The sequence below is a fragment of the Homo sapiens genome, chromosome 8, assembly GCF_000001405.40.
Source record: "Homo sapiens chromosome 8, GRCh38.p14 Primary Assembly".
Classification (NCBI taxonomy): domain Eukaryota; kingdom Metazoa; phylum Chordata; class Mammalia; order Primates; family Hominidae; genus Homo; species Homo sapiens.
Window position 1 is genome coordinate 25,417,199 of NC_000008.11, and position 14,090 is coordinate 25,431,288.

The 14,090-nt window shown below is 38.6% G+C and overlaps 2 protein-coding genes across 7 annotated transcripts in view, besides 1 other annotated feature; both read right to left on the reverse strand.

Moving 5' to 3' along the window:
- Positions 995-1,289: an enhancer, noted in NCBI's record as "tiled region #10380; HepG2 Activating DNase matched - State 5:Enh, and K562 Activating DNase unmatched - State 15:Elon". NCBI's record gives its function as "activates a minimal TATA promoter and a strong SV40 promoter by Sharpr-MPRA in HepG2 and K562 cells {active_cell/tissue: HepG2 | K562}" and the evidence as "EXISTENCE:reporter gene assay evidence [ECO:0000049][PMID:27701403]".
- Positions 2,060-7,842, reverse strand: GNRH1 (gonadotropin releasing hormone 1). 2 transcript variants are annotated; one of them, NM_001083111.2, is made up of 4 exons: positions 7,003-7,063; positions 5,992-6,133; positions 4,375-4,470; positions 2,060-2,262 (listed from the first exon to the last, which is right to left on the reverse strand). In NM_001083111.2, the coding sequence occupies exons 2-4, from the start codon at positions 6,130-6,132 to the stop codon at positions 2,221-2,223; spliced, it is 279 nt and encodes a 92-aa protein (NP_001076580.1). In that variant the 5' UTR covers position 6,133; positions 7,003-7,063; the 3' UTR covers positions 2,060-2,220. The 2 variants fall into 2 exon arrangements, with proteins under 2 accessions (NP_001076580.1, NP_000816.4); NM_000825.3 differs by having other exon boundaries at positions 5,992-7,842.
- KCTD9 (potassium channel tetramerization domain containing 9) overlaps positions 10,649-14,090 on the reverse strand; it is a 30,587-nt gene continuing 27,145 nt past the window's right edge. For all 5 annotated transcript variants that reach the window (XM_047421912.1, XM_047421913.1, NM_017634.4 and 2 more), the window contains one exon: positions 10,649-12,775. In XM_047421912.1, coding sequence (XP_047277868.1) covers positions 12,659-12,775 — 117 coding nt within the window. In that variant the 3' untranslated portion in view covers positions 10,649-12,658. The remainder of the gene's footprint in view (positions 12,776-14,090) is intronic.

The following is a 14,090-nucleotide window of genomic DNA, read 5'->3' on the forward strand; positions in this document are numbered from 1 at the left end:
ATCTATTTTTGAACCATTTTTTTTACTACTTGATCATTTAAAGCCATATGTATTTGAGAACTCATCTCATTAAATGTATCATTTGATATGTTTCCCTACCCTTTATTATGAAAGGCTTAGGATTTTTTTTTTCTTAAAGCTACATTGATGAGTTAGACTCTTCAGATTCAGTGTTTATGATTTTTATAAGGAGGCCATTTTCATTTTCAAAATGGGGTCTCACTCTGTTGTCCAGGCTAAAGTCAGTGTTGCAATCATGGCTCACTGCAGCCTCAAACTGGGCTCAAGCAATCCTTATGCCTCAGCCTCCTAAGTAGCTGGAACTACTGGTGTGAGCCACCATGCTCAGCTCCAAAGTGGCCATTTTCACTCTCCTCCTTCCCGTTAGTTATTTGGGCCATTGGAGCATCAAGGGTACCTCCTGAAAGCCTCTAACATCAGCATCAGGCAGTTGGATGAGCATCTTTTTATCCCATTCAAGGGAGGCCTGCAGCTGGCCCTCAAGAAATTGTCCCAAAGACAAACTTTGGCTAAGGAAATCTGATGCTTCACACAGGATGTGTAAGTTAAGTGGGTGTGTTGCTTTTTGTTAATGTGTTAAGTAATGTGAAGATTGTATACTGTTTTCATTAAAAAAAAAGTCACCGGGTAATTGGCTAATGGAAGCCTCTCATCTTGCTCACATGTATTGATTAATGAAATAATGCAGTTTTGCTTTTGTTTCATAAAGCAGGTTGTGGATCACATCATTGCCTAATTTTATTAAAGACGGAGTGAAGACATTATTTGATTCCACTTTAGAGACTCTTCCAATGGAGGTATTTGGGAAACCTGTCATTGTGCAGTAGCAAATATTTGTATTAAAAAGAGGCGGTTTTCCCCCACGGGATGTTTCTCACCCCTGTTCAAATTTCTTAGCATAAGTCTTTCCTTTTTTGAGGGAGCAGGGTAGGGGGTAGGGAGGCGAGTTCATTTGATTAAAAGAGGAAAAAGGGCTTAGATCTTTGACAGGTCAGTTTGTTACTGAGACATTGGGCAAGTTATCTGAAATTTGTTTTTTTTTTTCCAATGGTCTCATAGCCACTTGGAAGTTATGTGGCTAAATGAGAACATCAATGTCATAGTGTCTGGGGCCTTATGGAGGATTAGTCATTGCTAAATCTACATTGACCTATGAACCCTAGTTTCCTGTTTCAGCTCCAATGGACAAAATAACCCAGCCTCCAAAGTCCAGTTCTGTTAGCTGCTCATCATAGGGCAATACTAGAATAGTGAACATGGAACCAAACATGGCTGGGTCTCTTAAACTCTCTGAGCCCGTTTCCTCATTTTAAAGCAAAGGCAATACTAACTACAATCCAAGGTTCTTATGATGGTTAGTAAAAATATCTGTGCACATATGTAGCACAAAGCCTGCCCCTGGTCTTTTTGGAGAAAGAATGGTGGCAATGCTATCTGACCAGGGGACATAGGAACAATAGAGTCCCATCTCCAACGGTCTGTCTGTACTCCATTGTGTTTCTTAAATGCAAACCAAACAGATCAAGCAGATGAACACTCTATTATTTTTTAGGTCTCAGTCCCAACCCTCAGTGTGCACCACTTGGATAGATTGCGTGGGACCAGAAGGAGCGCTGGACTAGGAGTCCTTGGAGGCCCCCTCTCCTTACCCCCAGGCCTCATTTGGGTTCCAGTAAACTTTCAAAGGGTTTGGAGACGATCAAGGGAGGGAACTTCTTTCCAAGTGGAAGAAAGCCTTGGCCGTGGCCCCACCTCAACTTCTGAAGAGTATGGTCGAAGATAAAGTTATAATCCCAGAGAAACTGGAGCTGAATCAGCTTTTTCTGGCTGGACCAGTATGTGGCTGTTCTGCTTGTGGGTAGATGCAGGGTATGGGTGCTGGAGAGCCTGAGATCCCTTTTGTCAACAACAGACACTTTATCTTACCTGCCCTCCCATCTGCCACCTGTATACACACATGGAGGGCTCCCTTTGGTGGGTTTACAGTGATCCTTCCCCCGGAGTTCTGAGTTGGAGAAAGATTTAACAGGTATGCCACTTCATTCACAACACAGCACTTTATTATGGAATATGTGCAACTTGGTGTAAGGATTTCTGAAATTCATACCATTTACAGGTATTTAATGGGTTATAAATTTTCAATGTCAGAATTATACTTAAGTCATGTTAGTAATGGTCATTCCTTCTGGCCCAATGGATTTAAATCTTCTTCTGCCCAGTTTCCTCTTCAATCAGACTTTCCTGAAAAATATATAACAAATATATCAAGACTGACTTTACCAGCTGAATTTCATTACATTTTGACATTTTAATTTCTAAAATATCAGTCTGGAAGGAATTGGTCTGTTTGATTTTGTGCTCTAGTTAGTGCTAGGGAGACATGATAAATTGGGTTTGTTTTTCTGGTTTTTTTTTTTTTTGAGACAGAACCTCACTCTGTCACCCAGGCTGGAGTGCAGTAGTATGATCTCAGCTCATGGCAACCTCCACCTTCCAGGTTCAAATGATTCTCGTGCCTCAGCCTCTCTAGTAGTTGGGATTGCAGGCATGCATCACCGCATCTGGCTAATTTTTATAGTTTTAGTAGAGACAGGGTGTCACCATGTTGGCCAGGCTGGTCTTGAACTCCTGGCCTCAAGTGATCCACTTACCTCGGCTTCCCAAAATGCTAGGATTACAGGCATGAGCCACTGTGCCTGGCCGATTGGGTCTTTTTAAGCACTTAATATACATAAAATCTACATTAATAGTTTAAGGATGAGTTGTGAGGAAGGAAGTGAAAAAAAAGTCTGGTCAATTACTTTGCTATTAAACCAGCCTTTGCTTCAATTTCTTCATAATGTCATGTTTGACAAATTTCACTGCTTGCCATTTTTGTAATGCAGTAAGCAAGATTAGAAAAAGAAAGGAAATAGGCTGGGCGTGGTGGCTCATGCCTGTAATCCCAGCACTTTGGGAGGCCGAGGTGGGCGGATCACAAGGTTAAGGGATTGAGACCATCCTGGCCAACATGGTGAAACCCCATCTCTACTAAAAATACAAAAATTAGTCCAGTGTGGTGGCTCATGCCTGTAATCTCAGCTACTCGGGAGGCTGAGTCAGGAGAATCGCTTGAACCCAGGAGATGGAGGTTGCATTGAGCCGAGATTGCGCCACTGCACTCCAAAAAAAACGAAAAAGGAAATAACGACGTCTGCCCACTTTTTTCTTTGTTCTGTGGGTATATTAAGTTGAAGTCACTGTAGACAATTAAAATTACAGCTTATTTTTATATATGATTTATTTGGGCTTTCCCAGCTCCTAGGCATAACTGATCATTAACTGTAATGCCTTCTGATTGCTGCAGATAAGTGGACAATAGAGATCAGAGAATATCAACATTGAATCCAAGATTCAACTTAAGTCAGGCACAGTGGCTTGCACCTTTAATCCCAGCACTTTGGGAGGATCTTGAGGCTGGGAGTTTGAGACCAGCCTGGGCAACATAGACCCTGTCTCTACAAAAAATTAAAAAATAAAATCAGCTGGGTGTGGTGGCAAGTGCTTATAGTCCCAGCTACTAGAGAGGCTAATCTAGTCTCCAGAATTGCTTGAGCCTGGGAGGTTGAGGCTGTGGTGAGCATTGATTGCACCATTGCACTCTAGCCCGGGGAACAGAGCAAGATCCTGTCTCAACAAATAATTTTTTTAAAAGATTCAATTTATACATTCAATTCTCTTTATACTTTTTCATCAAAAACCTAATATGATTAGTGTATTTCCATTTTGGGGGGCGGAATTTGGAGGTGATTATTGTCCTATCAGGAAACTGGAAATCAAGTCCATCACTCTCTAAATTATAAATTTAGTAGTTTGGCATTTTTCATTCCAAAGAAGAGAAAAAAAAACCCATCTACAGCAGTGTTTCTCATGTCTCTATTCCCCAAGGTTCTGGAAAACCATGTAAGATAAAGCACAGTTGCAGGATCAGGTGGAGGGCTGTGGAGTAGCCTGGAGTGGAGTAGTCTAGGGGGTTTGGTGATTTTACTTGAAGAAATGAAATGCAGCAGTGGGAAGAAATTTGTTTTGTTAGTTATCCCAAAAGCTAGAACCAGGATTAAGAGATAAAAGTTACAGAGAGATTTCAATTCAACTTCAGAAAAAACAAACAAACAAAAAAACGTTTCAGCCCCTAGTGCTGTCTAACCACCAACTGGGATTGTCATGAAACACGGTCCTACCACAGGAGGTAACAGAGGAGTCAGGAATGTAAGCCCCACAGTATCTGGGAGGTAGCTGTCCTAAGTGATCCCCAAAGGCTTATCCACCTCTAGAGCTCTATGCTGTGATCATGTTATGATCACTTTAACTTACCAGAGCTCCTTTCAGGTCTCGGAGGGGAGAACGTGGCTGGTGCGTGGTGCATTCGAAGCGTTGGGTTTCTGCCAGTTGACCAACCTCTTTGACTATCTGAAGAAAGAGAATGTGATGCTTTGAGATGGAGATAAAGAAATGAAATGGTGTTTTCCATTTCCACCAAAAAATTGTGGAGAGTGGGGTCAAGGGGGATGTGGGGCTGGGGGAGATTGGGAAAGTTGCAGGATTAGCATAGGGACTTTAAGGACACAGATCTGCCATCTGACATTTCTACTGAATGGCATGGGGATCTGGAGATAATGGAGACAGTAAGAAGATATCATATTTTCCCCTTAAAGATGAAAAGAGGGAGGCACTTTGAGCCTCATGAGAGTCAGTATACCCAAAAAAACAAAAAGCAAAAAACCCCCAAGAGTTTATAGTTGTAAAAAAAGGTTGGTTTTTATTTTCTAGGTTTTACTAAATATGTTATAGTTCAATGAGATTTGCTTCATGTATAACCTGCAGAGAAGAGGCTTCAGATTCTGGGTCTTCTTTAATACTAAATTATCTTTATTATTTCTCAGAAAAGAGATAATTCCTTCCAATGATAATGAAATGATTTAAAATTTTTCCCATTCTCAGTCCTAGGTTATTTTTCAGGTTAATCAGCTAACATAGATGGCTTCTTTCCTTACATGACCCTGATGAGTGGTCATATTTTATAAACAAAAATCCTCCCGGCACTTTGGGAGGCCAAGGTGGGAGGATCCCTTGAGCCCAGGAGTTTGAGACCAGCCTGGGCAACATAGGGAAACCCCATCTCTATAAAAAGTTTTAAAAATTAGTTGGGTGTGATAGTGCATGCCTGTGGTCCCAGCTATGCAGACGGCTGAGGTGGGAGGATCACTTGAGCCCAAGAAGTCAAGGCTGCAGTGAGCTGTGATCGTGCCACTAAATTCCAGCCTAGATAACACAGCGAGACCCTGTCTTAGAAAATAACCCCAAAAAACAAGAAAGCAAGTACCTCACGTTAGTGTTGGTGCCAGTCCTATAATCTAATCTATATGAATTTAAATCAGCATGTTTTCTACTACGTTATCTTATCATCTTGAGTTTGCTAATTCCTGTATTCTACCAGTCTCCAACTTTGCTTAAATGCCCCTATCAGTGAAAAGAAATTATAGGGCATGCATCCTTGATAAGGATACTCATTTATAAATTATAAAAATGTACTGATCTAATAGCATAGATATGTTTAAAAGATGAAATGAGGAAAAAAAAAACGAAGTTCTAACGTTTTTTCCAAATCCCAAAGAATCATCTTCTGATACAGACCTTGACCCTATCCCATTGTTTCTAATTCCTTTAGCAATCCCATACACTCAGAGTATGACGTGCTGTCTCACACTTGTTGCTATTAATATATTCTTTTGGAATTTTTCCAGCTCTTTGTTTAGTCCCTGTGTGAACTGAAAGTAGGAATGGGACTTCTACTTTGTAAGTGCCTTATCTCACCTGGAGCATCTAGGGTACAACATCATAGAATATTGACATTGGGGCTATCCTGAATGTTTAATATAGTTAAATTGAATAAAATCACTATGTCTTATTTTGAAGCTGAGAGAAACTTACCTCTTGGAAAGAATCAATCAAATTTTCGGCATCTCTCTTTCCTCCAGGGCGCAGTCCATAGGACCAGTGCTGGCTGGAGCAGCCTTCCACGCACCAAGTCAGTAGAATAAGGCCAGCTAGGAGTTTTTGAATTGGCTTCATTCTAAGGCACATGAATGCACAATCAAATTAGATCCAGACAAGGTTGAGTATAAACTAAAAGACCTCTTTAGTGAAAAAGCTAGCATCTGTATCACTAACCCTGCAGAAGATGGAAGTCAGAGTCAGTTTTTACATACAGACACTGAAACTCAGAGACACTTGCTGGCTTGCCTTTAGTTTCTTAGCCACTGGGGACAAAATGAGTACTTAAGCTCACATGTTCAGGACCTTTTTAGTACTAAAATAGTCTATACTTTTATTTTTATTGTTTGGTTATCCAAACCCCATAATTCATCCCTTATCAAGTTCATCATTTTGCCTTAACATTTCCCCTGTTGTGGATTGGTCTTCAACTCTTTCATTCCTGAGATAAAGAGAACTGAGTCATCTGTTAAGAAAAGTAGCTCCTACTAGGAATCTCTGGCTAATATAAAATTGCTTGACATTACATGGCTACCCCATGGTACTAATGACATTTTTCTATTTATCCTTCAGTCTTCCTAGCATTACTGCTGGCTGAACCATCTGTGGGAGAGAGGACTCAACACTGTTCAAAGTAGTTAGTCCCAGACCAGATGCCTTCCTAGCCAAGGGGGCCTCTAATTTTCTAATGAAATGTGTCTCCAAGTTAATTTTCATTTGATGGGAAAGAGGCTAAAAACTAAATCAAACACTGGTCGATAAGCTGTGGGAGTCCCCAAAGCCTGGATCTCTGTGGCTGGTGATGGCAAGGACAGTGAAGGACAGGACATCATTAGATACCGTCACACCTGGATTTAGCCCTTGGGCTGTCAAATGCCCTGTAGACATACAATAGCATGCAATCTAAAGAAGAAAAACTCGTGCTAGAAATAATACAAAGCCTTTTACCTGTTTAGAGGCAGAGAGCCAAAAAGATCCCAATCTTCCCTTGAAGTAGGTTGAGTACTGTGACTTTTCTGTTTTCCTATCTTCCTTTTTATAGGGAATTTTTCCAGGACATTGAAATCTTTCCTGCTGGTAAATTATACTGCAAATGGACTATGCTTTTTTTTTTTTAATGGTAATTTTTAAAAATCCTCACATAAAGCCCTTTAATGGTGTATGTAATTGGAACACCCCCTGGTATATCTGTTAGATTTACTTAAGTGCAGCCATTAAAACCTCAGCTAAAACTTTTATAGCTGAGGACACAATTCAAAGAGATTAAAATCCAGCTAGATTGGATTCCCTTGAGGAAACCAGCAGACCTATCAAGAGTTCAAGGAAAATAGATGTCTTAGATTAAGTGAAGTCAAATGCATACATAACTTCCACAAAGGAGGCTATACAACAAATATAGGACATTGAGTCAGGATGTCTGGGAGCTTCTGGCTCTTGGATTCTTCATTTGTAAAAGGAAGGGTGTAGACTAGATGGACTAGATGATCACAGAGTTGCTTCCAATTTTAAAAATCTGATTTACAAGTAAGTGACACTATATACCAAGTCCATGTAGGATCCTAAATCAGACAGTTGTGTGTTTGAAAATTCCCTCATCTACCCACCAGGTTCCCTGCTTGACTTACCTTGAAAGCCTTCTAAAGCATCAAAAAGGCAAGAAACATATTCTGAGAGCAAGACCATATTGAGCAGACTTACATCAACAGATCAACTCATTTCAGTAGATGCTTATTGAGTTAAATATGCAAATCACTCTTAAGGGCAGTGGGAACAGAAAGATGAGAAATTATAGTTATTTAATAAATAGCAAATGTATAAGAGCATTCATTACAATAGCCATGCAAAGTGGGTATCATTATCTAAATTTTATAGATGTTCCACCCCAGAGGTGCAACCGTGGACGTGTTATTTACACAGGACAAGCATGTAAAATACACACACAACCATTACTCTTAATTACATTTATTTGAATACATGGTTGTCTTCCCCTAATTTACCCCTAGGCTGAAACCTGTAATAGTCAAAGATCCCATCTTATTTAAATCTCTCTTAATAAACCCCCGGCATTTAGTGAGCATTCAGTAAGTATAGGTTTGAATGAATGAATGAACGAATGAATGAATAGAAAGCAAAAAGCTTTTAACCAGGTAAGGCCTAATGCTGCCTCTATTTCTGCATCAAAGATATGCTTTATCTGACACAGAATTAAACTTTCATGTATAATTGGCTGTAAATCCTGTTATATTAGCTAAGCTGTAAGATGGCTAAAAAAAATAACTGGATATTTGTTCATTTTACAGCTGGGAATGGCAATTTCCCCTCATGTAGGATGCTAAACCCATCAGTCATTGCACAGTCTCCTCTGGAATAACTACATTTGCAGGGATTTCAGAGTAAAGAGAAATGGTGTCTTACCTAAGTAAATTCCCTTGCTTTGTCCAGCCATCTCTGTGGAGGCTGTCCAGTCCTCATGATAGGATAGAGAAGGGAGTACACTTTAAAGTATAACTGCAAATAGAGGAGAATTTAAAAATAAAATGTAAGTATTTGACTTTGTTCCATTTAAATTATTTCATTTAGACACTTTGACTCATGTAAGTGCCATTCTGACATGAAGAGTGGAATCTCATCTCACTACAATATGCAAGTAGGGACAGACTGTTTTTCAACCAGAGTTCATTATGGTTGAATAGTGCTAGTTTAAATTGTCCAATTGGTTTGTGTTTGCTGAGAGATGTGCCTCTAAGTATTGCTTAAGTAGAAAATGTGGTCTCTGGATAGGACTAATGAAATGAGAGTTAAGACTTGTGATGCATATTGTCAGGTGAATCACTTATCTCTGGGTAGGTAGGCCTCACTGGATTTCTTGTAGGTTATTTCTAACAGTTGGGATTAAATTTTTGAAAAATGTTTTGAAATTATTAAGATGAACACAGCAATATTGTATTACTCAGCATTCTCTAGAGGGACAGAATACATACACACACACACACACACACAAACACACGCACATAGGAGAGTTTATTAAGTATTAACTCACACGATCCCAAGGTCCCACAGTAGGCCGTCCGCAAGCTGAGGAGCAAGGAAAGCCAGTCTGAGTCCCAAAGCTGAAGAACTTTGAGTCCAATGTTCGAGGGCAGGAAGCATCCAGCACAGGAGAAGGATGTAGGCTGGGAGGTTAGGCCCATCTAGACTTTTCACGTTTTTCTGCCTGCTTTATATTTGCTGGCAGCTGATTAGATGGTGCCCACCCAGATTAAGGGTGGGTCTGCCTTCCCCAGCCCACTGACTCAAATGTTAATCTCCTTTGGCGACACCTTTATAGACACACCCAGGATCAATACTTTGCATGCTTTGATCCAATCAAATTGATATTCAGTATTAACCATCACAAATATGGTCTATGAATTCATCCAATATGCTGTTGTCCTTAAAGTCTCCATTAGCATTGTCTTAGGTCACACAGATCTCAAGGCAAGAGTCAACTTTGTTTTGTCTTACTTTCTATAGCACCAAATAGGTTATCAAGCCACTATGCAATTAATGAGTTTTTGATATTGAATGACAAACTTAAAACCATTTAAGGATTCCATGGTTAGGTCAGTTTATCAAAAAGTTAAATATAATAAATTGGGTTTAAATAATTGGATTTTATATTTGTCATATTTTTTTCTAAATTTGAAAGAATGGCTTTAGAGAAAAAACTGCTTCATCAACATCAAAACACCTCAAAATTATTACAGCGATGATCTCATAATATCACTGAAATGACAGATGAAAAAAATCTTTTCTTGCCCTAATGTAAAATCTCAGCAGGAAGCACTTAAGGTTAACTCCTGCTGACATGTCTAATCAGGTTGTAAAAGGGTTTCAGAGAATTAATCCTTGGATAAGGTGCTTTATACTGAAATAATGTAACCACTTTTCTTTGTAGTAATGAACCTTTTAATTTTAAAGGTAATTCTTCCTTGGGGACTTACTTAGTGCAATTCTAAGTTTTTTCCATATATTAAAGATGATTTAAAGTTGACATAGGGCAGATTTACAGTACACATAAGAGTCATAAAATGAAATGGAGAAAATATTCCAAGTCTTGATTTATGATTGAACCCTTCATAAGAATAATTAATTTACAACATTTTCTACCAGAATTTCCTTGAGACTATAGTTGAAAGAACTAGACTACAATAGATAGTATTGCTTAGTTGAGTACCAAATTTTATTAATGCAGATAATCCAGCTAGTTTAATTTTGATTTAAAACCTTTTTCCTGTCATCCCAACAGCTGTATTTTTACCTATGTGTACAGACATGTTTCATCTCTAGGGTTAATGGAAGTTTTACTATTTTAACGGTTTCTTCCCTCCTTAAAATTCTCTATCCTAGTTATCAGGCAAAAAATGTTTTGGGGCATGCTATTTATCCAGTCTAATAAAGCTAACTGGTAATATTCATCACCTAAAGAGTGATGAATTTAACACAAACAAATTAAACGAATTATTGGGGAGGCAGTCTTTTCTTTTGTTCAGAATTCATAAGGTTTGTGTTGTTAGCATGGTGTATTTTTAAAAGAATGATAAAAATAATCATGTTTAAAGAAATAAATTTACTTTAATGGTACTTTCAAAAAGACTAATCCATAACAAATTAAGTTATACTGTATTTCCTTTGCTACCCAGAACCACAGGGCTGGTTGTCAACACATATTGAAGAAATGTAAGCAAAATACAGAAAGTGATGATTTTCAAAAGGAAGAGAAGAAACTCCTTTTCAACAAACACTTTATATCATTTATTAATGCAGTATACATTAGATCTAAAATCTGCAGTTTCTAAGCACACCATGTTTAGATCTTTCAGATCCTTCTGCAGTTTTAGGTTATTTCTACAGAGGTACCTTTAAGTGAATGAATACCACATTCTGTAATTCCTGAAAATATAGTACAGAGTGAAATGATTTAAATATAATTTAGGCACATATTGATTATGAAAATAGATTATCTCTCAATACAATACTTCTCTGTCTTGGTAAAAATAATAAAGCAAAGAAAATAATTCATTTCTGAAGTTGCTTTCCTTCACTTGTAAAGGTCTGATCTCCTCCCACTATGCATATGTACCCTTTACTGTTAAGGAAAGCTTTGCATATGTAGATATAGAAGAATAAGCTACGTAAATACTAAAGATATGTCATTCTCCCAAAGGAGACACAGGTGGTTTTCAATGATTCCTTGCCTCATGTTGATGAGTCTGTAGAATTCAGAACCCATTTGGACACAGCTAATATCCCTGCTCTTGGGGTAGAAAATAAGGACACCAAGTCATTGGTAGGGAGGTACAGGCCCTTCCTCTGCTGCTGCAGAGAGAGAATGACTCAAGAAAATTGGGCTAAAATTTGTTTAAAAAAAAAAAACCACAAAAAAATAAGTAAAAGAATCACAGGTGCTGACTGATTGATAATTACATCTTGGACCAGCCAAATGCCTTTATTTTTACGTCTATTTTTTTGGTGGCTGTAATCAAATGTGTGTTTAAAATTCCTCATTCCCCACTGTAGGGTTCTAGCTGCAATTATATTACATTGCCTTTTAGCAGGCAACTCTACCATATTCACTCATATAAGCTTTGATTGCAGTAGCTCTGGATTTAGTATCTATTTCTAAGCTGGCCCTATGTAAACTATTTGGTATTTGAATTAAATGAATATTAATGATGCACCTTGGTTTTTTTGGTTTTGAAGTATCTTCCTATGCTTGTGATGACTGTATGAGAAAACTAGGCTAATAGTGTAAATAGATAGAATTGCTTGATCTGGTGTTGAGTGGAACTTGCCTAGAATGAAATTCTGAGAAATTCTCATTTGTAAGTGTTGTAGTGATAGGTAAGTTATTCCTCCATCCAGAGTTACACTGTACCTTTGGAATGACAGTGATGTACAATGATGTCTTTCTTTCCACTCTGTCTCAATCAGTAAGAACTGGATATTACTTTAATTTAGCTACTGTTCTGTCCTAAAAAGTAAACATTATAAAAATGAACCTGAAAAGAGTCTTAGGGAGTCTGATCTCACCATATTCATACGGTGTGACAGGTATTTAAAGAGGGGAGGCATCACTAAAGCTATTTATAAACCTGAACAACCTTTTCCAAGTTTTCATAAAGTTTTAACAATTTAAATATCCATACTGCATCTAGGAATTCAATAAATATAATTGCATATGTTGTGCTTTCCATAAATTAAAATCCTCAAATGCATCTCAAACCAAGATGGTATTTCCACATCATGCCTATTTAAAAGCAAATATAATAGATACTATGCCTGGTCATAAAACCAGGTAAACCCCCCTACCCCATTCAAAAGGCAGCAATATCTAGTTTCCCTACATCTATTAAATGAGTGCTTTTCTGTTAAAAATCAGAATATGGAAAAAAAGTCAGTTTTTTCCCTTATGCACCACTCAAAACAAGCATAATCCTCTAAATGTTTTTTTTTTAAATTTCCTTACAGTGTTATTTCTTCTAGACAACTGAGTGGGTGGAGAAAGAAAAGTGATAAGGAAAACATTTTCATCTTTTACATCTTCCTCCAGCCCCTAAAATTCTCATCTGACACTTTGTGACATGTGTAGTGGTGTCAGCATCTCTTCAAATATAGCTCCCTTCACGTTGGACCCTCTCAGGTTGGCTTCTTGAAGATCACACCCAGACAGATCACAATTCTGCAAGATGAAAACAATATTCATGTAATTCATGTGGAAATTTCAGGCCTTATCTATTTCTGCTCAAAATGATTTCTGGGGCAGATTAGGAAAATGTTCTTATACAATAAAACTCAGTTAATTTCCGGAAAACTGATGATACACCACCCTAAATTAAGATGTTCTTCTATCTTTATTTGTTACCTCTAGTTCAGGCTGATCACCATAAATATGTATAAACAAAGGTTAAAGAGGAAGCATGTCCCTTGTTCTTGCATATTTTATAAGGAGACATTGAAAACAGGGGTCCCCAACCCCTGGGCCACAGACTGATACTGGTCCATGGCCTGTTAAGAATCAGGCCACACAGCAGGAGGTCACCAGTAGATGAAGCTTCATCTGTATTTACAGCCAGTCCCTGTATGGCTCAAGTTACAGCCTGAGCTCCACCTCCTGTCAGATCAGCAGGGGCATTAGATTCGCACAGGAGCGTGAACCCTATTGTGAACTGCACATGTGAGGGATCTAGGTGGGGTACTCCTCATGAGAATCTAATGCCTGATGATCTGTCACTGTCTCCAACACCCCCAGATGGGACTGTCTAGTTGCAAGAAAACAAACTCAGGGCTCCCACTGATTCTACATTATGGTGAGTTATATAATTATTTCATTATGTATTACAATGTAATACTAGTAGAAATAAAGTGCACAATAAATGTAACGCGCTTGAATCATCCCAAAACCAGCCCCCGACTCTGATCTGTGAAAATATTTTCTTCCACAAAACCAGTCCCTGGTGCCAAAAAGGTTGGGGACCACTGATTTAAAATACAGAATGGATTCCAACATAATAAATACACACACACACACACACACACACACACACACACAATTTTTTTTTTGAAACGGAGTTTTGCTCTTGTTGCCCAGGCTGGAGTGCAATCTCGGCTCACTGCAACCTCCACCTCCAGGATTCGAGCTATTCTCCTGCCTCAGCTTCCAGAGTAGCTGGGGTTACAGGCACTCACCACCACGCCTGGCTAATTTTTTCTATTTTTAGTAGAGACGGGGTTTCACCATGTTGGCCAGGCTGGTCTCAAACTCCTAACCTCAAGTGATTCGCCCACCTTGGCCTCCCAAAATGCTGGGGTTACAGGCATGAGCCACTGCGCCTGGCCCCAAAGTAATAAATATTATCAAAACAATTTTACTATGATCCAAGAACAACAACAACAAAAGGAATGAGATGGGGGGAAGACTTTTTTTTTAATCTGAAAAGATTTTACTTAATCAAATTGTGTAATAGATTTTTCCATTCCCTAGCCCTAGTATTTTT

Bases quoted from the DNA above. Each gene is read 5' to 3' on its own strand.
- GNRH1 (NM_000825.3), bottom strand. From the start codon at position 6,144: ATGTGCCTTAGAATGAAGCCAATTCAAAAACTCCTAGCTGGCCTTATT. The intron at 4,471-5,991 runs GTAAGTTTCTCT...CTCTTTCTTCAG, and splicing joins TGATTGATTCTTTCCAAGAG to ATAGTCAAAGAGGTTGGTCA. The intron at 2,263-4,374 runs GTAAGTTAAAGT...TATATTTTTCAG, and splicing joins GAGACCTGAAAGGAGCTCTG to GAAAGTCTGATTGAAGAGGA.